We start from the raw sequence: 27,224 nt of genomic DNA, 5'->3' as shown, positions 1-27,224 counted from the left end.
GGGGCCTGTAATCCAGCTACTTGGGAAGCTGAGGCAGGAGAATCGCTTGAACCCGGAAGGCGGAGGTTGCAGTGAGCCGAGATCGCGCCATTGCACTCCAGCCTGGGCAAAAAGAGTGAAACTCCATCTCAAAAAATAAAAAATAAAAAAAAGATTCATCTGTGCAAAGTAACCTAAATATCGTGTGTGTGTGTGTGTACCTTATTCCATCTCAAAAAAAAAAAAAAAAGATTCATTTGTGCAAAGTAACCTAAACATTGCATGTGTGTGTGGTGTTTTAAGGTTTAAGTCTTACAACCAACTTATATTATCTCTGTTCTATCAATCAAAAGGGCAGATTTTTATTTAAATTATATGCAATAATGTAGGCTTTTTCTGTATCTGATCTAGCCAAATTATGATATATTGCTACAGGACTCATAACTAATTCTTGGCTTATTTCAAAAGATGACCTTTACTATGGTCCAAGTTTCATTTGTGATAAGGATTTAAGTTATTCTGCAAAAATTTTATTGGGTCCATAGTGATCTATATTGAAGATGAAGTTGTTCCAGTGCTTTATATCTATAAACACTACTTAAGACAATATATTATCATGAATATATTAACATATATTCATATACTTCCCGTAACTAATAGAGAGTAGTTTGCATTCTCTATGTCCAAGAAAAGAATAAAGCAAATTACAGTGCCAGAAAAGAGTGTTCAAAAAAATATGAATTAAATAATCAAAAGAATAAAGTGTGACTTTTTACTATGGTTTGAGTTCATATAGGACTATTGGAGTGAAATGGCAACCAGCTGTTCTCTACTACTCACAGCCAAGTGAATACAAACACAGATTTAAATTGTAGGAATTCATAGAAGTCTCATGAATAAAATATATTATTTCTCATTTTAGATATGTAAAGAACTAATATACAGAATTTCAAACTAAAAAACTGACAAGCAGGGAAATGACATTATTGCTTATAGTGAAAATATGAATTAAAGGATTCCATGCTATAATATTCTAATATCCCACAGTAAGCGTGTGTGTGTGTGTGCGTGTGTATAAAGTTTACATGTACAGGTCCATGAGTGAGCTGGAAAATTAGGCAGACACCAAATGGTGTTTGGCTCACTCAACTTTATTATTGGTTAAAGTGGAGTTGGATCAGTTCAGTCAAATAGCATTCAAAAATATGTGTAGAGATGGTGGAAAGTGGAGGCAGTGGTTCATGGGCAAATGCGGAAGAGTGAACCAGTAAATTACTTTGGCTAATACCAGCCCCTCTTTGATAGCCATGCTTCTTGGGGTCTGGAGGTAGCATAAGAAATAGTCTGGCTTCCTTCCACCATGTAAGGATACACAAGAAGAAGCCATATACGAAGCAGAAAGCAGCCCTCACCAGACACCAAATCTGCTGTTGCCTTTATCTCGCACTTCTCAGTCTCCAGAACTAAAGAGGAATGAGTTTCTGTTGTTTATAAGGGGAAAAAAAGAGAAAGAAAGAGAAAGAAAGAAAAGGAAAGTGTCTGGCTTGCAGATTGTTAGAGTGTTTTATTAACCTCATGATCTTCACTGACTTCATGGGAACCAACCTTTTATACTCAGTGATTTTTCTCCATCTATTAATGTAACCTTCAACCTTGTTGATATTTCTAATACATAATTTCCAGAAATTGTTTTATGTGTCTGTTCAACTTAATAACCTTATCACTTCCCTGTTGCCTGGCACAGAGCAAAAGTTAAATAAATGACCAAATTCACTGAACCCTAGAGATAGATGGCTAGAAAGTACCTTAGCAGTCATCTAGTCTAACACTTGTTTTACTGATGTGGAAGCTGAGGGCACATAATCCAATGACTTGCCGAAATTCACCAAAGCAATTAACGAAAGAGCTAGGATGAGAAGGCAGATCTGTTGACACCCAGTTCATGCTGACTTGAAGGCTACAACATTTTGGAAGCTATAACTTTGGAGTTATAGGTCCACATTCATGGACAAGGGTTCTGGGACTCTGAGACAGTGAGGTTTTTAATTCTTAAATGGGTTGTAAAAGTGAATAAAGAGAGGAATGCAGCTGTCAGCGTCCTGGCTCCCCTGGTGTTAGGACAAATGTGCTGTGTGCCACAGTACTGACCATAGTCTGCAATTTGAGAAGGATTGAGAATTGTTTACTGTAGACTTTTGAGGGTCAGTTAACTCAGGATTACAATAAAATAAGCAAAAAGAAAGCCTTATCTGAAGAATTAACAACTGTACTTCAGGAAGCACTTTTGATGATGATAATTTCAAATAATTCCATAAGGCTTTTCCTTTGTTTTTTGCTGTAACGGATTTTCTTTATCATTATACCTTTCATTTATAACTGCTATTTTCAGATCTAAGAGCATATAAGGCCTTCAAGGCTTAAAACAATGCATTGTTTATAAAGTTGCCTTTGGGGGTTTTATTTTAAAATGTTTAACATTTATCTGATATCAAGTTAGTGTTAACCAACAAGTGTTAAACATATATATATATATTTATTATATATATATATATATATATATATATTTTCATTAGCAAGGCTTTCCCGCCGCCCCCCGACCCTTTTGTTTGTTTTCAAAACCTAATTTCTTCATTTTTTTCCTTCTTTAGGAGAAAGTGAGCCATGGTGTTTGCATGCCCCGAGGTTATCTTGAAGTGATACCAAATCCAAAGGACAATGAAATGAATAACATAAGAGCCACATGTTTTAATAGCGACATAGTCCTAATGCCAGAGTTATCAACCTTTAGAGTTTTGCCATGGGCTGACAGAACTGCAAGAGTGATATGTGATACCTTCACTGTGACTGGTGAGCCTCTTTTGACTTCCCCAAGGTACATTGCAAAGAGGCAGCTGAGCCATCTGCAGGCCTCTGGCTTTTCCCTGCTTTCTGCTTTCATCTATGATTTTTGCATTTTTGGTGTGCCCGAAATTTTAAATTCAAAGATTATATCTTTTCCTGCTTTAACATTTTTAAATAACCATGATCAGCCCTTCATGCAGGAACTTGTTGATGGCTTGTATCACACTGGAGCCAATGTCGAGAGTTTTTCCTCCTCTACCAGGCCTGGTCAGATGGAAATCTCTTTCCTGCCTGAATTTGGCATTAGCTCAGCTGATAATGCATTTACCCTCAGAACAGGTGTCAAAGAAGTGGCAAGGAAATATAATTACATTGCCAGCTTCTTCATTGAGACTGGATTTTGTGATTCAGGGATTTTGTCTCATAGTCTCTGGGATGTCGATAGGAAGAAAAACATGTTCTGCAGCACTTCTGGAACTGAGCAGCTCACGATCACTGGGAAAAAATGGTTGGCAGGACTCTTGAAGCACTCTGCTGCGCTCAGCTGCCTGATGGCGCCTTCTGTTAGCTGCCGAAAGCGTTATTCCAAGGACAGGAAAGACCTGAAGAAGAGTGTGCCTACAACATGGGGATACAATGACAACAGCTGTATATTTAATATCAAATGTCATGGAGAGAAAGGCACCCGGATAGAAAATAAACTAGGCTCAGCAACAGCAAACCCTTACTTGGTGCTGGCTGCAACTGTTGCTGCCGGCTTAGATGGACTTCATAGCAGTAATGAGGTCTTGGCTGGTCCAGATGAGAGCACAGACTTTTACCAAGTGGAACCTTCTGAGATCCCTTTAAAACTAGAAGATGCCCTTGTGGCACTGGAAGAAGATCAATGCCTGAGACAGGCTCTAGGAGAAACCTTTATTCGATATTTTGTTGCCATGAAGAAATATGAGTTGGAGAATGAAGAAATAGCTGCAGAGAGAAATAAATTCTTAGAGTATTTTATTTAGAATAGAGCTCACAACTACTCCTTTAGACATGTAATTGTTACTTAAAGCTAATCTACCAAAACAAAAAGACTGAACTTTTGTAATTAACAACAGCAACAATAACAAGATTACGAATGCTTTTGACTTTTTTTTTTGTCCATGGAATATTTGACAGATGAAGTAGGACTGCTGAGAAGATTCTGATAACAGAAACAAACAACAAAGTTGTGGTGAAGCTATAATATGCAAACTTACCAGATCTTGTCAGTCATTTCCTATGTGTATGTTGACCTGGATAAGAATATCCAATTTTGGGTGGCAATAAATATATTCGCACATTAAGAAAAAAAAGACTTAAGCATTAGAAAGCAAAATTTAAATGACTAAAAAAGAAAAAAAAGAAAAGGAGAAAAAATTTTAATGGTACACATAGGTTATGATTTCCAGGGAGACAAATATACTAATATAGTCTCGCTAATCAAATAATATTGTGAATCCAGGTTGTATGCACCATTATGGTCTTTCTAAACAAGTTAAATAAACTTTTGCCAAAATATAATGACAGGTAGGCAGTTTTCCCCTAAGTCTCTTCTCTTTTCACCCTTCTCCACTAGCTCCTGAAAAGCTTATGAACTTCAAGGTTATAATGTCCTCAAGAAACAAATCCCTAAGGAATAGAATTGGAGCTGAGAACAACGAGGTCAGATTTTAAAAGTAGTTAAAGCCTTTCTTTTAACAATGCCTCATATAGAAGTTCAATACACAAAGTATAGATAGAAAGATGTTTGTGTGTGAGGGTAGGTGGGCTCTGTCTACTCTGCTTCATTCTTTGAAACTAGATGTTCCTCTGAAACCTCTAGTGCTCTGTGGAGTGTGAGAACAACTGCCTGGCTAGCCAGGGCTATGTTTGGAGTTTAAGTTTGTTATTCAAATTACTGAATCTGCTGCTCACAGAGGTTGGTACCTCCCCAGAGAATATTACCTGTTCCAGGCCTTTGTTTGAATGAGATAATATTGTAACTATCACAAAAGTTTAGCTGCTTTTGGGAAGAAGTCCAAAATCCACTTACTAGCAAATGAAACATTATTCTACTGCTTAGGATCAAACAGCAGATTTTATGTTCAATTAAAACTGACTGTAGTCTCAATTTAGATAGCAATTGCACAAGCAGAGGATTAGAATTTGGCTCAGATCCTCTTATTAAAATTCATATTACTCAGTAGCTTAAATAGTGAAAGTCAGTCTATCCTTCACTAATTACTCCCTTCTTTTTTCCTTTGAGCAGGAGAAGTGTGTTTGGATACATAAGAAGAAAGTTCCCAGCACTTTGGGAGGCCAAGGCAGGAGGATTGCTTGAGGCCAGGAGTTTGAGTCCAGCCTGGACCACATAGTGAGACCCCTGTTTCTACAAAAAAAAAAAAAAAAATGCCTCGCATGGTGGCACATGCCTGTAGTCCCAGCTACGTGGGAGGCTGAGAAGGGAGGATCGCTTGAGCCTGGGAGTTTCAGGCTGCAGTGAGCCATAATCACACCACTGCACTCCAGCTTGGGTGACAGAGTGAGACACTGTCTTAAAAAAAAGAGAAGAATAAAATTCATGGATGCATATGGGGTAGAGAGAAAGATAGTGTAGGGTAGCTGGGGGAAGGAAGGGAACCTGTCCTGAAACCTCCAGAATGAAATCCCACACATTACATCATGGGAGGGATAAGGAAGACTCTCATGCCAATTTTCTAGCTGTCTGCTAGAAAATTCCCCTCTGTTCATTTTCCCCTCTGTTCTCAGTAATAAAACCTCAATATGTTCTTTGAAAGCAATGAAAAATGAAATGATATTTCTGAGCCTTCATTAAGGTTGGATGTGGTCATGTTATTAGGTTCAGTGCAAAGAGGTGAAAGTAGAAGTGTTGCATATAAGTTCTTTAGGACATTTTCTTTTCTTTTCTTGTATTTTTTTTTTTTTTCCGAGATGGAGTCTCGCTTTGTCACCCAGGCTGAAGTGCAATGTGGGGGGGTCTTGGCTCACTGCAACCTCTGCCCCCTGGGTTCAAGTAATTCTCCTGCCTCAGCCTCCCAAGTAGCTGGGATCCCAGGTGCCTGCTACCATGCCTGGCCTTTTAGTAGAGATGGGGTTTCACCATATTGGCCAGTCTGGTCTTGAACTCCTGAACTCAGGTGATCAGCCTGCCTTGGCCTCCCAAAGTGCTAGGATTACAGGCATGAGCCACCATGCCCTACCACACTTTAGAACATTTTTTTAAATGACGGATGCTGTGTGCTCTGCCCTTTCTTTCTCTTGCTGCCTTCACCCTTCCTGCTGAGTGGCCTACAGATAATGTGGCTAGGATTATGTCCTTGGGAAGGGAGGTTTGCTCCACAGGGTACAGTAATAAGGTGGAATCTCTGCTTTGTAGAGCAGTTTGACTTGCCTACATCCAGATGTTTACCTGAGAGAGAACCAAACTTCTATCTTCTTTAAGCCACAATGATTTTGATTCTTTGTTAGTTGCAATGAAATTTATTTTCTCTTTTCCATGTGTGTGTTGTATGTGTGTTTGTGTGTGAGTGTGTGCATATGAGTGGGGAATTTGAGGGATTTGGGGATGAAAGAACAAAGGTATAAGAACCAGTGAAAGACGACTTCCTCAATATTCCCACTTCTAGAGAGGATAATCTGAGTTAATCAAAGGGATCCACACATCCAAAAAATGGGATTGGCTCTAACCCATCCCTATAAAGTGGCATATCCCTTTATAGTCCACGGGCCTTAATGAAACATGTCTAATGCATTGACTTCATTTTACCATAATGAGTAAAGATGCTGTAAAAAGTCTGATAATCACAGTGTTTGAAGCCGTTTTTTCCCCTTTCGCATTATTAGCATAACTTAAAAACACAGTACTCAGGATGCCATGTGAAGGAATTATATAACTAGGAATATTATCTTCAGTATTAAGTGTACAGTCGTGAGTCAAAGAAAATATTCAGCCATAGATTACAAATCAGTTGATAACGTAAGTTGGTGTGGCAGTTTCCACCAAGATTTCAGTTAGGTGTGTGCTGATGTATATTCTTGTTCTTTAAGGCAACCCAAAAAGAGGCATTGGCCAGCAGAGTTCAGGGCCAAAGACAAATTGGGGTAGGTACATGTAAAAATCAGTTATCTATTTTTCTATTTCTTTCATCTGTTCATAGGCTTTCTATTGTTGAAAGGACTTTCTGCTGATGCTTCTACCTTCTTGGTCTGGGTTAAGAGGGTCAGACATTCATTCAGCAGCACTTATTGAGCACCATTTGTGTGCTAAGCCTTCAGCTGGGAGCCATCATACTAGGGGAGACCAAAACAAAGATGAGCAGACAATGAAAGAGTTTTGGATCTGTGTATCTTAAGCAGAACATAAATAATTTTTTTTGTAGACCTAATGCTGAAAAAAGCTATTTGGAAAGCTTCTTTATGGCTCGAAAAGGGTGCCTTATAAATAGCTTTACAAAAATTGCTTTCTTATTTTCATTTACTATAATTGTTCTAATCAAAGCTTAGGGGAAAAATGTGATTACTGAATTTAAAGTTGGTAATTAAATGAGTATACATAAGAAATGTAAATTAAAAGCGATAATATTTTAAGACTAGAAATTAAAACATTAGTATTGTAGTAACAAGTTTCTATTTTCAAGGACATTCTATAATCTAAAATTTCATTTTACAGTGTGTGAATAACAACAACGCTTGAAATGATTATTTGAAGGCAATGAAAGATCAAAAAACTTTAATCTGAATAAAAATTGAAAGCATACAGTGAAGTCTGAGCTTATCAGTAAAACAGAACAGTCTATTGACATATCTCCAGTCACCTGTTTGACAAAATACACTCACCAATATGTTTATGATATAGGTATGACTGGACAATACCTTTAACCTTGGGTTTTCTATGACAGGGGTAAGAATTTGTGTCTTTAAACATTACCTATGTGCACAGTGCCTTCCCTGTTAAAGCTCTTCTCATGCTGCCTATAATTAGGGGTTTACATGATACTTCCTAATTGCTAATTAGGATGTGAATTCTCAGAATAAAAGGTACAGATCTTACTTACATTTGCATTAATACTTCTTGTTCCTTGCATATGTTCTGGAATTCAATTAATGTTTAATCAATCAATGCATATGTTATTAGCATAGTACAATACTATGCTTGTCCAGTATAAAACACACAAATTCACCTACCCAGAGAGAGGGAGGAATAGAGACAGTGGAGAAGTCCAACAGTTTGTGTTTTTTTATTGATCCTGCAATTTCTGCCATTAGAACTTCTTCAGGTTTTCTGCTTCTAGAAACTCCTGAGTAAACACCATTTGATTAGCTTGATGGGGATCAAAAGAACAACAACAATAAAAACAAAAACAAAAAAGAGCAAGGTGAAGTTGTCATGCTTTTTAGCCATGTGGAACCTTTCAATAGCTCTCTTAGATTTGTGGAATCCCTCTTCTTTGGGCTCTTGTCTCAGAAAGTAGAAGTCAGAACCTCACCTTCCCAATTTCTCTTGCTGCCATTGAGAGGTGACAGCGTGCTGGCAGTCCTCACAGCCCTCGCTTGCTCTCGGCGCCTCCTCTGCCTGGGCTCCCACTTTGGCGGCACTTGAGGAGCCCTTCAGCCCGCCGCTGCACTGTGGGAGTCCCTTTCCGGGCTGGCCAAGGCCGGAGCCGGCTCCCTCAGCTTGCTGGGAGGTGTGGAGGGAGAGGCGCGGGCGGGAACCCGGGCTGCGCGCGGTGCTTGAGGGCCAGCGCGAGTTCTGGGTGGGAGTGGGCTCGGAGGACCCTGCACTCGGAGCGACCGATCGGCCGGGGTAGTGAGGGGCTTAGCACCTGGGCCAGCAGTTGCTGTGCTCAATTTCTTGCCTGGCCTTAGCTGCCTTGCCTCGGGGCAGGGCTCCGGATCTGCAGCCCACCATGCCCGAGCCTCCCCCTACTCCGTGGGCTCCTGTGCGGCCCCAGCCTCCCAGACGAGGGCCGCCCCCTGCTCCAAGGCGCCCAGTCCCATGGACCACCCAAGGGCTGAGGAGTGCCCGCTGGTGGCACAGGACTGGCAGGCAGCTCCACCTGCAGCCCCTGGTGCGGGATCCGCTGGGTGAAACCAGCTGGGCTCCTGAGTCTGGTGGGGACGTGGAGAACCTTTATATCTAGCTAAGGGATTGTAAATACACGAATCGGCACTTTGTATCTAGCTCAAGGTTTGTAAACACAGCAATCAGCACCCTGTGTCTAGCTCAGGGTTTGTGAATACACCAATCGACACTCTGGATCTAGTTACTCTGGTGGGGACTTGGAGAACCTTTGTGTGGACACTCTGTATCTAGCTAATCTGGTAGGGAGGTGGAGAACCTTTGTGTCTAGCTCAGGGATTGTAAATACACCAATTGGCACTCTGTATCTAGCTCAAGGTTTGTAAACACACCAATCAGCACCCTGTGTCTCGCTCAGGGTTTGTGAATGCACCAATTGGCACTCTGTATCTAGCTAATCTGGTGGGGAGGTGGAGAACCTTTGTGTCTAGCTCAGGGATTATAAACGCACCAGTCAGCGCCCTGTCAAAACAGACCACTGTGCTCTACCAATCATTAAGATGTGGGTGGGGCCAGATAAGAGAATAAAAGCAGGTTGCCTGAGGCAGCACTGGCAACCCGCTGGGGTCTCCCTCCACACCGTGGAAGGTTTGTTCCTTCGCTCTTTGCAATAAATCTTGCTGCCCTCACTCTTTGGGTCCACACTGCCTTTATGAGCTGTAACACTCACCGCGAAGGTCTGCAGCTTCACTTCTGAAGCCAACGAGACCACGAACCCACTGGGAGGAACGAACATCTCCAGACGTGCCACCTTAAGAGCTGTAACACTCACCGCGAAGGTCCGCAGCTTCACTCGTGAGACCACGAACCCACCAGAAGAAAGAAACTCCGAACATCAGAAGGAACCAAGTCCGGACACGCCGCCTTTAAGAACTGTTAACACTCACCGCGAGGGTCCGGGGCTTCATTCTTGAAGTCAGTGAGACCAAGAACCCACCAATTCCGGACACACCATGGTACAAGGACTCTGCCAATCAGATGCAGTCATAAAACATGGACTCCACTCTGCTGAGCTTGAGGGAGGCAGCAGCGACAGGCATCCATGGGTGCCATCCTGGGGTGGCATTGTGGGGGGGCATTGGTGGTGCTATTGCCAGTGCCAGTGGCTGTCGGGTCTCTGGAACAGTCAAGCCTGTTCTTCTGAACCTGATTTTCTGGCCCTCCGAGATTCTATTAAATATCTAATATTTTTTAAATAAATTTCTTTTTTTCTTAAAGTAGCTAGAATTTTTAAAAAGAAGCCTGACTGAAAAACAGTATATAAAAAGACACGCGAAGAGCAAGAAAACTTTGATAAAAGAGAAGAAGAAAGAAAGGCAGAGAATTACTCTTAATCAGAAGACTAGGAACAATTGAATGTTTATACTAGATACGGATTAAACAAAGGTTTATTAAGCTCTTAGTACATAACATACATCGTGTGGGCACTTTCTCATTCATTTCCTTATTTCATGCTGTCTACAATTTTATGAGAAAGGTAGACTTATTATTTTTAAAAACAAGAGATTTAAGACCCTAAAAAGTTGTTGTGTTGAACGAACTAGGAATCAAATCCAGGTTTCTACTTTCAGTCTCATGGTCTCTGTGCTACACCAGAATGCCCTTCACTACAGTCTCAGCTAAGTACAATACTGAAAATTTTGCTGAATATTACATTTTAGTTTTAAGGCTTCTAGGCATTAAAATGAACAGAAGTAGGTAGTAGATACATGCTTGATAACTCTATCCAGGCCAGAAGGTCTTATGACAAAGAAGTATGATGCCATAACATTATTTCAGAACTTTGGTCAGATAACAGTAATTCAAGCCTTAAGTAGTTTCTTAATTTGTTTGAACACAAAAAACACCTGGCTGAAATTTCTGACCATCCTTAGAATTTGAAATAGTGCCAATCAATTTATTTTGTTTCATTTTTAGAAATATTCTTTGACAAGAACTCTGCATTCATTGAGAGCATAAAAGAGTTGATACTTCTCTCTGGCTGCTTAAGAAATAAAAGATAAGAAAACACACTGATTTTTGAAAATAGCCAACCTATATGGAGGCGAAATGTGTAAATTAAGGGAAAAAGAAATTGGCTGAGAACCTGCTACACAATGACATAACAAAGGTTTTCTTGTCTCTTCAAGATGTTTCCTAAGATTAATAAGATCAGTTTTACCTGGAAAGAAAAATAACACTTTAATTAATAACTATAAAAATTTAATGTTTATAAAACTGCTAATATAGGATTCATTAAATACAAATGAATATCAATGTATTGGGCATATCCAAGAGACTACTGGATAAATTGTTACATTATAGAAAACTTTTCAAACATAAGCTAGAGGGCAGCAACGTACCATTAAACAGTGTTGGCTCAGAATTCAGAGCAAAGCTGAATATTAAACATAAAAGTAATTGGATTTTCAATCTAGTTACTTTGAATAAATGAAAATTGAAAAAATGTATTAGAAATACTAACAGCAGAAAGGCATTCCCAATCACATGACTTGCATTTGAATATTTTTAGGTTAATAGATATTAAATACAGGCTCAATATCAGAGGGGGGGGGAAAGGAGTGTTGACAGGATACGATATTACCAATATTTAAGGGTACATTCAAGAGACGTAGAAATATGAAACCATAGAAACATTAGCTGCATTCTGTAATGCCTAAAATTAATCTAAATGTCTTAAATTTTGGATGACTCTACAATAGATTTGAAATAAATAAGTCTGAAAAGAACTAAAGAAGAAATCTTTAATAAACTATGAAAAAAAGAAAATCCAGTAATTTGTTACTTATTTGGAGGTTCATTAAAATGAATCACATTATAAGAGCTTCTACAATATCTACAAATTAAATAAATGCTACAAAGTGTCTTCTTTCTGTGATCACTAGAAAACATATATATCAATTCACTTTTTATGAGGTAAACAGAAATGATACTTCAGTGTTTGAAGTGAAAAAGGATTGTTAGATAATGAATTGTTGTTTAAGTTAGACACTAGGTAGCATTTTTATTCAATTTTTGAAATAATTGCTTTTGAGAGCCATTTGTATGTAAGTTACGAAGGGGAAGATACAAAACTGGACAATACATGTTTTTCTCCCACAAAGAGCTTTTAACTTTAAGTGAGAGAACAAATGTTTCTAAATGTCTATGGATGGAGGATAGAATTTATGTGGTGAGGAGAGAACAAAACAGCATAGAGGAGGATGCCATTGATCAAGCAATGCGAAGTCTTGGGCTGGATCACAGACTTCTTTGGCTCCAACTACCTTTCTCACTGGATGGCAAGGGTTATAAGGTCCCATGTCCCCAGCACTTGAAGAAGGAAAAGAAATGTGGCTAGCAAAGGGCAGATACAACTAACTCTAATAGTGCTGTGTCCCGTGGCCACACTTCCTTAATTCCCTGACAAAGAACAGGCGTCTTATCTCAGACTTAGCACTTTTCTTCCTTCTCTTAACTTTCAGTGCAAGGGGTGCCTCTCATTGTTGGCAGGATCCCACCCCTGTGGCCTTCTCATGCGAGTACCCAATCTCTACTGTATCTCCAGTATGTTCCTCTCCTGGTGTTTCTTTCCCATCAGAATTTAAGCACATTGACATGGTTGCAAGGTGCATAATGCACACGCGCGCGCACATACACACACACATACACACGGAAAAAAATCTATTAATCCGAAGTACCCTTCTCACTTCTGTCCTTGTCTTTAAAATCAAATTTATTGATTAAGTTACATGTCCTTGCTCTTTCTACTTCCTCTATTTACTCCTCATAGCTTCCCATCACTGCCCCCAAATATTTTCGTTTCTACCTCCACCAGTCCCCTTCAACTGTTCTCACCAAGGTTAATCATAACCTTCCACTTGTTAAATACAGGGGACATTTCTCATTCATGTTTTATGACGAGTAAACAGAATTTGAAATTGCTGACCTCTACCTCTTTGTCAAAATGGTTTTCTTTTGACTTGAAAGGCACTAGAGGTTCTAGATGTTCTTTCTCTGGCCACTTCTCAGCTTTTCAATGTCTTGTGAATTCCTCTTTTCTGCCTGAAATTCGATGTTGAATATTATTCAAGATCCTTCCATTCTTGGTCCTTTCTTCCCTCTAAAAATTGTCTCCACAACATCTTATTTATTATTACTATTATTTTCCATGGATTAAGACATTTATTTATTTATTTGTTTATTTATTTATTTTTGAGACACAGTCTCATTCTGTCACCCAGGCTGACACGATCTTGGCTCACTGCAATCTCTGCCTCCCAGGTTCAAATGAATCTCCTGCCTCAGTCTACCAAGTAGCTGGGATGGCAGGCACGCACCACCATGCCTGGCTAATTTTTGTATTTTTAGTAGAGACAGGGTTTCATCATGTTGGCCAGTCTGGTCTTGAACTCCTGGCCTCAAGTGATCCACCCGCCTCAGCCTCCCAAAGTGCTGGGATTACAGGCATGAGCCACTGTGCCTGGCCAAGACTCTTGGTTTAAAGTAATGGAAATCAAACTGAACCTGATTAAACAAAATAAGGAATTTTTTTGGTTGAGATAGAAGAGTGCCTCATGGACTCTAAGACCTTCAATGTGTCTAGGTGTTAGGAATGAATCTAACCTGAAACTGAAGCACTGTAGATAACCCAGGACATCTTTTCTATCTGTTCTTACCTCTGTTGTGTTTCTCCTCATGCCAGCATCATCCTTTCACTCCTGCTTTAGACTGGCTTTCTCTGTTTCTTTCTCGACATGATGGCAAATGGCTGCTGAAACAACTTCCCAAATTTACATCTTTTATGTTGAACAAGCAACCTGTTTGAAGCTAGTCTATTCTAGTCCAAACTCTAAATTCATTAGTTTAATGTGGGCAATGCACTGACTCCTCATCCAGTGAACTGTGGCCTGGAAGGGACATGTCACATTGTGTGAACATGGCTTTTCTCTCTATTATAACACGGATGGGTCAGGCAAAGGAAGTCCTGGTGGGATGGCATAAAAACCCAATGATGCTGACAGTAAAGCCTATACCTTCAATTTTTACTTATAAGCGAATGATTGTCAAGTTAGTTTCTCAAAGTGTACATCCACTCAAATGTCCCACAGGTATTTCAAAGTCAACACATCGGTGTTTAATTTATCACCTCTTCCTCACTCTGTTGGCCTAAAAATCTACATATTGGTTCTTTACTATTTTTAGAGTCTTCACTGGCCTCCCTCTAGAAGAAGTCCCTTCTCACACCTGGTAATTAGTCATCTGCTGCCGCCTATTGTTTCAGGCTAGGAGGGCTAGTGAGACATGCAGTCTCTTCTCTTCACATGGTGAGGGCATCCTCGAGTTCCCTCTCTTCTGCCATCTCAGTGCTACTTCAATTCTTTCTGGCACTGTAGGTGTTCTAGCCTCAGTTGTGTCCTTTATCCAATGATGGACCTAGGAGGCCCGCTTGGCAGCTTGCTTCAGCTACAGCTTCACATCATTCCACATACTGTGGCACACAGCAGGCCTGCTGTCTGTCTCTCAATGTTCTTGACACACGTTCTTGAAAAAGTATTCTAATTTTTAGAGCCACAATTCCCCCATCCATTAAATGAGCATGTCCTTTTTACCTATAACAACAAATCTGTTACACTAATTGTTTTCCTTTTTTTTTTTTACATAAAAATACTACATACAAAGTCAGATCCTATTGCTAAGAAGCTTCACAAATGTATTATATTAAGCTTCTTTGGACATCCCTCTTAAGATGTGACACTGAGTGATTGTATGATTTAACTACTCAACACTTCAACTGAAAACTATGCTATGGGTTAGATTAACAGAAGCCTAAAGCCAAGTGGAGAATAAAGAAATGTCTTGACTGAAATCTGCAAAGAGCATTTGAATTAGACCCTACATGTACTACAAATCCTCATGGCTTCTCTTCATAGAATGAAACAACAACCAAGAATTCAATTGGCAAGGCCACCTGCCTCATTGAAGCTCATGGAGAAGGTGGGATAGAATGGTTCCCCCGTTTCAGAAATACTTGATATTCATGCTCACGTTCCCAGTTAGAGAAGCCCTATGCTGCACAGTGACCTTATGGTTGCCAGAGCTGTTTCTCTGTCTCACTGGTATGAGAGAAAAGAATAGAATAGTGAAAAAAGTGAGGCAGTTTCAGGATTCACAGTGGTTACAGGATGCCCTGAAATAGCACTGTTCAAAGTGACTTAAACTGGGGTCCTTGTAGCAGCAGAAGCATTAGCTCTGAGCTTTTTAGAAATGCAAACTGACAGGCTCAGAAATGTGTATTTTCACAAGGGCTCTAGGCATATTCTCTGAATGCTTAAGTTTGAGAAGCACTGTTCTGCAAGATCAAGACCTGTCCAGTAGTTCACAGAGGTTTCCATAAGCCCTGAATCTGAGGGGAAAAAAAATCCACAGAGGTTTTTGCTGCTTTCAAGATGCCACTTCTATGCTTATAGTTTCGTGTGCCCTTGGAGCTAACATTTGCTATTCTAAACTGCTACAGAAGCCAAACAGCTGTTCTCATACCTAGAATATCTTCTTAATATCTGAGGAAGGCTTTTACATGCTTAAAAAAGTATGTTATCCACTGTGCTATTAGGTCCAATGTGATGACTATTAATCAAGATTGCAGCTAAGACAGTTAATACCTTCTTGACATGTGAATGATCTCATTTCACTTCATCACTTATTTCTTTTAGGAAGGAGAGAGATTCCATACAGAATAGTTTCTGATTGAATGGCTTCTGTCTTATATGGTTTGGGATATTTTTAAGAATATAATTTTGGCAGCACGTTTAACCTTTTTGAGCTATCTGATATTCCCAAGAGGGAAAATTCTTGCAATGTCAAGAGATCACATGGTTTTTGTTTGATACTAGTTGGAGTTATGCAACACCTCTTTATTCTTGTTAATAATAAGTGCAGATTTTCATAGGACAGAAACAGCTATTTCAGGATATGTACTTACAACAGGAAAGGACATTTTACACATTGCATTTGCCCACAGTACTGTAAAGAATTCTGAAATGCATTATTCACATCAGATTCACACACACACACACACACACACACACAGAGAGAGTAATGGGATAGAAGGAAATAATGTATTTATCTGTAATAGATCTAAATCTCTACAAAGAAACACAAACAACTGTACAACCTGAAAAAGTATAGTCACTAGGCTTATTGGGGAAGTTGAGTGTGGAGTCTTACATGGTGTAGTCTCTGGAATTAGACTATCTGAGTTTGAGGCTCAGCTCTACCACTTATTATCTCTTGAGTCTTTGGGTAGTTTTGTTGGAGGCTCAGCTCTACCACTTACTATCTCTTGAGTCTTTGGGTAGTTTTTTTTTTTTTTTTTTTAACCTTCTGTGCTCAGCTTCTGCATTGGTAAAATGAGGGTCGCAATAAAACTTCGAAAGTCAACGTGAGGATTAAATCAGTTAATGCATGCAGAACTACTAAAATAGTACCTGATATTTGTTAAGCATGCATTTAAATTAAAAAAAAATTTTTTTTGTTTGTTTTTTTAACTATTCCAGTTGGAGAAGGAAGCAGGAATTAAGTATTTGCAAATGACCTTCAGAATTTTTAATCTTTTGTGACGAGAGAAGACATGTATTTCTCTTTACCACGCCCACACAGTTTGAGACCTCTTTAGTTGGGGGCTACAGCTTAAAAAAAGGAATTCCCTTGGGGGCAGACATGCTGTGCGCGCTGGGGGGAGAGGAGGAAGCAAATGTGGGACTAGTTTCAGGCTTTTAATCTCAATGTGTTTTGGCCTCTTGGCTTGTTTCCTTCTCTCCATTCTCAATAATTCTCATTGCTTTGGATAGGATAAAGGAGCACTATTTTTTTTGAGTGTGTGTGATTTTTTAAAAATAATTTACTTCATTACTTTTAATAGACTGCCGAGGTATTTAGTTTTTGACTGACAGAAAATATAATGATATATCAGATTCAAGCAGTCCCTCAAACATCATTCTTCACAGTTAAATTCTATATACATTTAAGAAAAAGAGGACATTCAAAAATGAAACTTTCTGGAAGATATCTTACAGATTTGTATCTGTCTATAAAGTTCAAAAGAATCTTTCTAGCACACTAAATCACAATGTATTTCTTGAATAGAGAGGACTGAAATACAGGGTTATTCACTCATTTTCTTACTGCTAAGCACACATTTACAAGTTAGAGAAGAAATATGCAGAGTTAAGAAAAAGACAGATTTGAATACTTTATAAAAAGGACAAAACCCCAACATACATAAAAAAAGTTTGACACTGAGTTTCTTCTGAAAAGAGCTTATTTTATTAAATTTCAAGAAAAGTAAGCCTATTCTAATGAGTAACAGATTTATAATCTTTTAAACAATAACTCTTTCCCAATGAAAAATATCTATAAATTTAGGAAACATATTATAAATTAGTTATGGTATTTAGACCAATAAATAGCATAAAATTTTATACACTTTATGGCTTCTTTTATATAATTTTCAAATTTGACAATCTTCCCACAGTATACTTTTTTCCTGAATATTTAAAATATCACTCCTCAAATAATAATCTATTTTATGCTATCTTATTTAGTTTTGTAGTTCAAATAATGATGAATAGACTTTTCTAAATAGGAAATAAAATGTGGGCAAATGAAGATAGTCACTAGCAGTCTCAAAGTATTTATAAAATATAGTTAATCTTAAAGTGAATTAACACTAAAGATGATCACATTGTTATTTCCTCTCTCAGATTTGGGCATATTTGTACTATGAACTTTGTTATTAATAATTTCGCTATGGAAGGGCTTCTACTGAGAAATTCACAATGAATTAACAAAATTTCAAGTTTTATTACCATAGAGAGACATAATACAATCCTTTGGGATCCATATTAAATCAGAGTTTCACCGTAAAGTGACTCAGTTGGTTTGATGCTACTGCACAGTGAATAGGAGTCTCACAATAAAGCTACAGTATGAGCTTCTATATCGTACAGTAAATCCATAGTGTTTTACAACAGAATTACATGGTAAGCTTCTCTGTACTTTAAATCAATGTAGATTCACAATGGGTTTCACCTTTTAGCTTCTATGAATTGCATGGTAAATCTGAAGTCTTTATTCATTTTAAAACTGGATGGTTGCCATCACATTAGACAATAAAGCTAAAGGCAGACCATTTCTGATAAGAATGAAGTCCTATTAGCAAAACTTGCCTCAAAATAGCTAATGAATTTCTCAAGGAAAAAGGTAGTTACCTCTATTATGTCAAATGTTGGAATCACTTGGAGGGAAGAAGTAAAATCTTCTGGAAATGACAAGACAGTTTTTTGAACCACAAACTCATGAAGAAACTGAAAACTAAGAGAAGTATTTCTGTTGTTGGGAGGTAAGATGATGGTGGAAAAAAGGATTCAGCAAGAAAAACTTGCAAGAGGGAAGAGGATGGTATGCTGGTCAAACATTGAAAAATCCCATCCATGAATAGTAAAATCTATTCTTTCTTTCCAGAGATAGTTACTTGACTTCATGGTCTTCTTTTATTTCTTTTTTCTTTTTTCTTTTTTTTTTTGAGACGGAGTCTTGCTCTGTCGCCTAGGCTGGAGTGCAGTGGTGCAATCTTGGCTCACTGCAACCTCCGCCTCCTGGGTTCGAGCAATTCTCCTGCCTCAGCCTCTCGAGTAGCTGAGATTGCAGGTGGCTGCCACCACACCCAGCTAATTTTTGTATTTTTAGTAAAGATAAGGTTTCACCATAATGGCCATGCTGGTTTTGAACTCCTGATCCTCAAGTGATCTGCCCACCTCATCCTCCCAAAGTGCTAGGATTACAGGCGTAAGCCATCGCACCTGGCCCCATGGTCTTCTTTAATTAAAACAGTTTTGGGATGTAGAATTAAAGGGAAACAATTTTTTTTTTTTTTAGATGGAGTCTCAGTCCATCGCCAGGCTGGAGTGCGGTGGCACAATCTCAAGGGGAAACAATTTCTATAAAGATGTTTTACCTTGAAACGTTTTCTGCATTATGGAAAATGCCTGCATTTTAGTAGAGCATTGTTAATTTTCTATAGACTAAATTGAAGTAGGGTGAATTCAGGTGGTTTTAGTTTTTTAAAGGGGGAGGGAATTGTAAGTACCAAATTCAATTTTAAAGCAATTTTCTTTATAAAACAAACATGTGGATCTTTTAGACAATCCGAAGTTTGAAGTTTCCAAGTACATACAGAACTAAACGTTTTGGAGATGTGGAAGATACTAATTACGCCTTACCTTTCTTTTAAGTATGAAGAACCTAAGGTTTTGAAAACTGTATATGACTTCCTCAGGGCTCGTAGTTACTGACAGAGTTAAAACAATATCAGGATCAGCCTGGTACTTTTTTGTTGTTGTTGTTGTACAATGTCAGCTTCCCGCTATCCCATATTTAAATAGGATTTTGTGTGTGTGTGTGTGTGTGTGTGGTTACTGGAACTTGTAAAATATTTTTACCCTTGAATTTGCCCTTTTATGTGCATTTTGCTGTGTTTTATTTTATTATATTTATTTATTTTATTTTTTTGAGACGGAGCCTTTCTCTGTCGCCCAGGCTGGAGTGCAGTGGCGCGGTCTCGGCTAACTGCAAGCTCTGCCTCCCGGGTTCACGCCATTCTCCTGCCTCAGCCTCCCGAGTAGCTGGGACTACAGGGGCCTGCCATCATGCCCAGCTAATTTTTTGTATTTTTTAGTAGAGACGGGGTTTCACCGTATTAGCCAGATGCTCTCGATCTCCTGACCTCGTGATCCACCCGCCTCGGCCTCCCAAAATGCTGGGATTACAGGCGTGAGCCACCGTGCCTGGCCACATTTTGCTGTGTTTTAAAATCTTTTTTTTTTTTCCCTAGAGGAATTTTGAATCAAATTGTATTTTAGGTTCTAAACTTGTTTTCAAACTCATTTACAATTGACTCATAAAATTCTGAGCTTGCCCTGCTGGAGTTTGGGCCCATCCCATCCCCTGATTTAAATGGACTTAGATATAAACTGGAGGTCATTTTAAAATTTTCTCTACTTCCCCGTCACCAGTCAGAGTGTTGCTATTTTATTTCACGTTCTTATGACAGACACTGAGCAAAGCATCCCAACCCTTGAGGTGATTTAAGAGCACGCTGGACCAGATTCAAACACATTAGGGGAAAAAAAGGAGTGGAGGTAGATTTTAGATAAAAAGTATACTCAAACGTGTTCCAGAAAAAAATTCCAGCAGGTGTCAATGACTCATAGCCTTCCAGTCCTTTATCACCTCATTAGCTTTGATTGCCTGACCCTGGATGCTCACCCTGGCTTCCTGTTTTCTCTGAGGAATCTGAATCATCCCCCACTCAATTTAAAGTTTTACCAACAATGCCCTTTGGGAATTGGAATAGCAGAGAAATGCTGTGTATAAAATGTTGTATCTGTTTTTGACACCTTTACTGCTAAACGTCAATAATCTTTGAGATTTTAATTTTATCTTCTGTGTGTCCAGTCTTACACAGACAAAACAGGCAGTTATAGGGAGCCTAGAGTGCCTAACAATTCTGCCTGCCTTTCTTCCCATCACAGTTCTGAAATACACAAAGCGACAAAGTTTTAAGCAAAAATTTTCAATAGAGATTATATAACTCTCTGTGTGTGTGTGTTTGTGTCAGAATTTGTGCAAGCAAGTTAGAAATAGAGTATAACCTACATTTCTTTTAGTGAGTGAGAGGTAATGTTTACATTCAGCTTAAATAACTGTTGGATAAATAAATGAAATTAGGATACATTGTTCTTTCACATTTCAGTTTTCAACACTTAAATATTTTGATCCAGTGGAAGACAAGCCACCTAGAAGCTGCAAACCCAGTTCCCTGCTCCCTGTTGGAGCTATAGTCAAGATGGAGAGGGATGTTCACATGTCATCACATTCAGGGTGACAACTCTGCAACTCTAGCCCAGAGAGTGGAACACTGAAAAGAGAGAGGAGAACTGCAGGACAACCAACCAAAATAGACTGTAATGGTAGGTAGCTAGTCACACAGGAGCAGGGCAGGAGAGAGCCCCCTATCCCAAAGGAATGTCAGGTAACCATCAGGTGATGGTCAGGCAGTTGTTACACAGTCTCTCTAAAATAATAATTGGTTGCAGCAGCACCAGGGAAAGGCAGTCTTCCAATAGACAGAAACACCTGAAACTGGCGATCAGCAGCTTCCTGATAAGATCTCAGGAGTTGGGTGAGTGCGCGCAAGCATGTGCACTAAGACGCAAAAGAGCGGATGACCTTCCTTTAGGAACACTGGACTGGTAAGGAAAAAACACCTCAAGTGAGCATGTATACAATTCCAGTAAACACACTGCACATGCTCCCTCCCAAGTGCTAGCAGACCACTGCACATGTGGACAGCCCACTGCAAAGGAAGAATCAGGGGATAAGGAACACAAGACCCTGGAATCATGCTAATGTATAAAACCCTAAGTCAATGGTTAAACTGTACACTTACTCTCTCAAGTCGCCTGCTTGACCCTCTTCCAAGTGTACCTTACTTCCTTTTATTCCTGGTTTAAAGTTGTTTAATCAACTTTCACTCCTGCTCTAAAACTTGCCTCAGTCTCTCCTTCTGCCTTATGCTCCTCAGTCAAATTCATTCCTCTGAGGAGGCAAGAACTTAGGTTGCTGCAGACCTGTAGATTTGCTTCTGATAACAAAACTCGGACTGGTTATTTCCACCCTTAGAGATTCTCGATATTGGCTGCATATTGTAGTTACCTGGGGAGCTTTAAAAATACTTTAAAAATATCCCACCTCCAGACATCCTGATGTGATTGATCCGGGCCAGGGCCTGAACATCAGGATTTCAAAGATGTCAAAAGGTGATTCTAATATGCAGCCGAGTCATTCTTAAGCTTGGCCTTAATGAAGTATTAACTGTCAGTTCTGCTTTTGATTTATCCAGTGGTTCTCAAACCTGCCTGTGAATGAGAATCACCTTAGAAGGTTTCACAGAGATTTCCTAGGCTTCTTCCCAGTTCACCTAAACAGAATTACTTGAAGGAGGTGCCCCCAAAATTTGCATTTAAGAAAATACCTTTTCAATGATATTTTAGCAGCCAGACATTGAGAAACAGAATTATTTGTCTGCTCTGACAATTACTAAATTAATTTCTACTGGTTTATGTCTGTTGCACTCATAGGAACTTCAGTTGTTAGTACTACTCATAGCTGATAACGGGGAGGAGAGTGTGCAGGAAAGTGGAAGTTATGCTGGAAAATACCTTCCAAGAGTGAAGAAGAATAGGGGGAATATAAAAAAGGAAGAGAAAATTTTTGTGTAAATTCAGTACTATTTAGTAATAAACCTATCTTTTGACTTATGTAGAAATCAATCCAGTAACTTTCTAATGTTGCAGAAAGAGCTGGATTTGCATCCCAGAGATGCCAGTTACCAATATGTAAACTTGAGAGATCTGTGTTTCTAGCTATGAAATGGATATAGCACCACCTCTTCTCTGGGGTTGTTGTGAGATAACATATGGAATGTTCCTAGTACAATCTTCATGTGGCTGATAGTAAGAGGCAGCCATTATTTTCATAATATACATATTATAAAAATATATATGTATAAATGTGTATATATGTATTATACATTGACTGATAATACATATAGAGAGGATTATAAGGAGAGAAGGAAAATTAGGCAGAAGTATACCAACCCTGGAATAATCGTAAACCTTGTCATCCAATAAAGAAAAACAAAAATTTCAAGATTGTTTTTAATTTTAGTGTTTTTATTACATTGTTTTAAAAATGTAGTTGGTCTCAAAAATGCAATTTTATTTTGAAATATTTTCTTTAAAAAATCACTAGCGTCTTCTATCTAATTATCTAAAAACCTTTGCGATTATCACCAGTATTATAATCATCCACAGAATTATTATTTTTCCATCTTAGATATGCAAAAATAGCCCAAAATATCAATTTTGGCTTAATTATACTGTATTTTACTTTCTGTTTTCCAAAACCCTATACATCTCTCAAATTATAGGAAAATAAGTGAAATTTGACTCTGATATGTATTAACTATGGTATTTATTTGACATGATACGTCAATTTTAATATATTTAGGTCTCTGAACAGTCCATGTGAACAGCAGACTGGCTGTATTTCTATGATTATAAACAGCAAAAAGACTTAAAATATCTCCTGATCTGTCAATAGAAAATAATCTCATCTACTATCTTCATTGCCTAGTTTCAGATAGAGGAAAGAGAGGGATAGAGAAAGAGAGAAAGAGCAAGGAAGGTATGCTACTGCAGACGTATCACTTAATGATGGGAATACAGTTGGAGAAATTATTTGTTAGGTGATTTTATCATTGTGTAAGTATTTACATAAACCTAGGTCATATAGCCTACTACACACCTAGGGGGTATATACCAATATAGTTGGTATTCAACCAGGATCTTGTGAATATATGGTTGGGTGTATATACCAATATAGCTATGTGGCAAAGCCATACACTTTGTTACCGTACTGAATACTGTTGCCAATTTTAATGTGCTGGTAAGTATTTGTGTATCTAAACAAAAAAAAAAGTACAGTAAAAATAAGATATTATAATCTTATGGGACCATTGCCAGAATTGCCTTTATATGGCACATGACTGTATAACAGAATTTCCTCCTTTCTTAGTATGACTCCCAACACACAATACCTCCAAGACTTGCAATTCATACTACAACTATCCCTTTTTACAAAATATACACTAGTGACCTATTTTTTAAAGCATCATTAGTTACTACCACAGGCCTAGAAATGCACAGAAGAGGCCGGGCGCGGTGGCTCACTCCTGTAATCCCAGCACTTTGGGAGGCTGAGGCTAGCAGATCACCTGAGGTCGGGAGTTCGAGACCAGCCTGACCAACATGGAGAAACCCTGTGTCTACTAAAAATACAAAAAATTAGCAGGGCGTGGTGGCACATGCCTGTAATCTCAGCTACTCTGGAGGCTGAGGCAGGAGAATCGCTTGAACCTGGGAGGCGAAGGTTGTGGTGAGCCAAGATCATGCCATTGCACTCTAGCCTGGGCAACAAGAGTGAAACTCTGCCTCGGAAGAAAAAATAAATAAATAAATAAATAAATAAATAAATAAATAAATAAATAAAAGGAACGCACAGCAGAAGAGTTCATAAGGGAAAGAAGACCACCAAGGCCTCAGTGGTAATAGGGATGTGAGAACCACAGGCCTATGTTCTCTAGGTGAGTAACTCCAGGGGGATAAAGAACAGAAGCAGTGAATTTCATAAAATAACTTAAAATAATTTTCATAAAATAACTTACGGTGTGAGGACTTCAAGCTTTAAGCCACACTGCAAAACAAACATAAGAAATTAACTGGTTTTAAAGATAAGAGGAGAAAAGAAGACTCCAAGTTGACTTCAATAATAAAGGTCATTTATAGTGTTGTGTAACATTATAATGTTTGATATAGTTTCAGTGTAAGTTCCTGCCAAATCTCATGTTGAATTATAATCTCCAGTATTGGAGGTGGGGCCTGGCAGGAGGTGTTTGAATCATAGGGCAGATCTCTCATGAATGGTTTGAGTGATAAATCACTTGGCAATAAGTGAGCTCTCTGAGTTCACATGAGATCTGGTGGCTTAAAGTGTATGGCACCTCCTCCCCCACTCTCTCTCATCTGCTCCTGCTTTTGCCATGTGATGTGTCTTCTCCACCTTCCCCTTCTGCCATGATTAAAGGCTCTCTGAGGCTTTACCAGAAGCCAAGCAGATGTTAACACCATGCTTCCTGTAAAGCCTGAAGAACCATGAGCCAATTAAAACTCTTGTCTTTATAAATTACCCAGTCTTAGGTATTTCTTTTTTTTTTTTTTTTTTGAGACGGCGTCTCGCTCTGTCGCCCAGGCTGGAGTGCAATGACGTGATCTCAGTTCACTGCAACTTCCGCCTCCCGGGTTCAAGAGATTCTCCCGCCTCAGCCTCCTGAGTAGCTGGGACCACAAGCGCCCGCCACCGCGCCCAGCGAATTTTTATGTTTTTAGTAGAGACGGGGTTTCACCATGTTGGCCAGGAAAGTATTTTTTACAGCACTGCAAGAATGGCCTAATACAATGTTGATGGCGAATAGCTTATTAAAAGTAGTTTGTATTTTATTAGCATTGTAGACTAATTAGCTTCAATGTGTGGTTCATTCTCTAATGACTCTCACAGTATTTCTGAATGACAACCAGGGTGGAATGGACCAGAGCAATTATGCATTAGGATATGCTAAGAATGCTAGGCATTTTTCACAATAGCCAAGTAGCATTTGTTGGGTGGGAGATTACTATGCCTTCCATTATTTGTGCAAAAGAATATAGCTCTGAGATTGGACTCACATCATAAACAAAAGGACAGATTCTTCCAGGCTGGAGGATTTAGGTCTTTACAGTGCATGTGCTCTCCAAAGAATTTTTCAGTCAGAATAACGAGTAATCTAAGAGCCTAGTAACAGTTGAGGCCTCCCAGGGCAGCGTACACCTGGTCATTTTTGATAGGGAAGTAACTTAGGTAACCAATGCCCGAGTCTTGTCCTGTGTTTCCTATTTTGGATCTTGGATGCCAAAATAAGTGCATGCCTCCTTATAAGTTTTCTTGTGTTTGTGCAGTGACATCTTATACACATATGTTTTCTCACTGTTAATATATCCACAAATAATATGGATATTAATCCTTCTTAAATACAGATTAATCTTTTTGAAGTATAGTTCAGATACTGTCACATCCTGAACAAGAACAACCATGACTCACAGCTGCCTATAGCACAATATTTACATTCCTTCACATTTAATTCAGTGTGCATTTTCCTTGAAGACACCATAGCCCAGCAAAATGCAACTATTTAAAGTCCTGTTTTCAATTGGCATTTCTCACCTCTGTACCTGCTTTTGCTCTTGGTATTCCTTTCACTTGAACTATGCTTTATCCACATCTCTATCTGTCCAGATCTTCTGTCCTTCTAAAGCTAGCTACAATGTTTTCGTCACCATTCTATCCTTTAGTCCTTTCATGCACACATTCCATTTAAAGTGTGTGTGTGTGTGTGTGTGTGTGTGTGTGTTTTCTTGGAATTTCTGGTCTAGCTTGCACATTAGGAGGAGATTTTGTGAATATCACAAACTCAACCAGGATCTTGTGAATAATCGATGTAACATCCTAAGTCAGACTCAAATCAGTGAACATTTTCTCACATCTAACATAGACAATTTCCATGTCAATGTTACAATGTCTTCTTCAAAGTCTTATTAGTTCAGCACCCTTGCCATATGCTGAAATAGAAAATTTCTAATTTTGGTTTTGATGAGGTCCATTATTAAGAGACCCAGAGGGAGATGCAGTCGGAGGAAACTTGATATTTCTCTTCAGGTATTTCATCTAGTGCACTTACTGTTTAATGTCTTGTCTTAGTATATTTGCACTTGCTAAGTTTCTAGTACAAGATCCTGCTAAGATCTAGTACAGTAAGGCTTTGGTGAACGCCTGAAATCTTTGCCTGAAGTATTCTGATTATTTTTTATTTTCCTCATGTCCAGTCTATAAATCTAAGGAAAACGAGAAACCTGCAGAACAAATAGGATAAGGGCAATGAAAGCATTTCTAACTACCGAACTACACCCTAATTACAAGCTGTAGAATATTTTAAAACAAAACAGGATGGAGATAGTCTTTCATTGTCTCAGAAAATAAAATGTAAGATATTAGAGAAGGTGTTATTTATGCTAAAAACTTAGAACTAGAAACCACAGAAGGAGCTGAGATAGGTTGGTCAAGGCAAAGGACCAGCCTGACCAACATGGAGAAACCTCCTCTCTGCTAAAAATACAAAGTTAGCCGAGCGTGGTGGCACATGCCTGTAATCCCAGCTACTCGGGAAGCTGAGGCAGGAGAATCACTTGAACCCGCGAGGCGGAGGTTGCAGTGAGCCGAGATTGCGCCATTGTACTCCAGCCTGGGCAACAAGAGAGAAACTCTGTCTCAAAAACAAACAAACAAACACAAACTCTGCATGTTTAGCTGCATGACCAGACCGATCCTAGTTCACTCATTGAGTGTTCTCGTTTAAAAACCTATCAAACAGACAGTAAGTGAGCTCCTTGAGAACAAGTTCCATATTTTATTCCTCTTTACTATTCCTTCAATATGATGCTTTGTATAGCATAAGTACTTGAGAAATAATTATTTAATTAAAGAAATAAAACTGATATCGCTGTGTGTTATGTGAAAATGTTTACAGTTTTGAGCTTGAGTGTCAGCTTGG

General features: G+C 38.9%; 1 protein-coding gene across 5 annotated transcripts in view, besides 1 other annotated feature; it reads left to right on the top strand.

Moving 5' to 3' along the window:
- The window catches only part of LGSN (lengsin, lens protein with glutamine synthetase domain), a 297,657-nt gene extending 289,760 nt beyond the window's left edge, over window positions 1-7,897 (top strand). For 4 of the 5 annotated variants that reach the window (XM_047418866.1, XM_017010930.3, XM_011535892.4 and 1 more), the window contains one exon: window positions 2,628-7,897. In XM_047418866.1, the coding sequence (XP_047274822.1) occupies window positions 2,628-3,827 (1,200 nt within the window). In that variant the 3' untranslated portion in view covers window positions 3,828-7,897. The remainder of the gene's footprint in view (window positions 1-2,627) is intronic. The other variant, NM_001143940.2, reaches the window with a different exon arrangement.
- Window positions 14,098-14,147: a silencer, noted in NCBI's record as "silent region_17307". NCBI's record gives its function as "represses an Ori minimal core promoter by ATAC-STARR-seq in GM12878 lymphoblastoid cells {active_cell/tissue: GM12878}" and the evidence as "EXISTENCE:reporter gene assay evidence [ECO:0000049][PMID:35858748]".

Source organism: Homo sapiens, chromosome 6, assembly GCF_000001405.40.
Source record: "Homo sapiens chromosome 6, GRCh38.p14 Primary Assembly".
Taxonomy (NCBI): Eukaryota; Metazoa; Chordata; class Mammalia; order Primates; family Hominidae; genus Homo; species Homo sapiens.
Note: the sequence above shows the minus strand (reverse complement) of the source record. Positions and strands in the feature narration are given on the sequence as shown.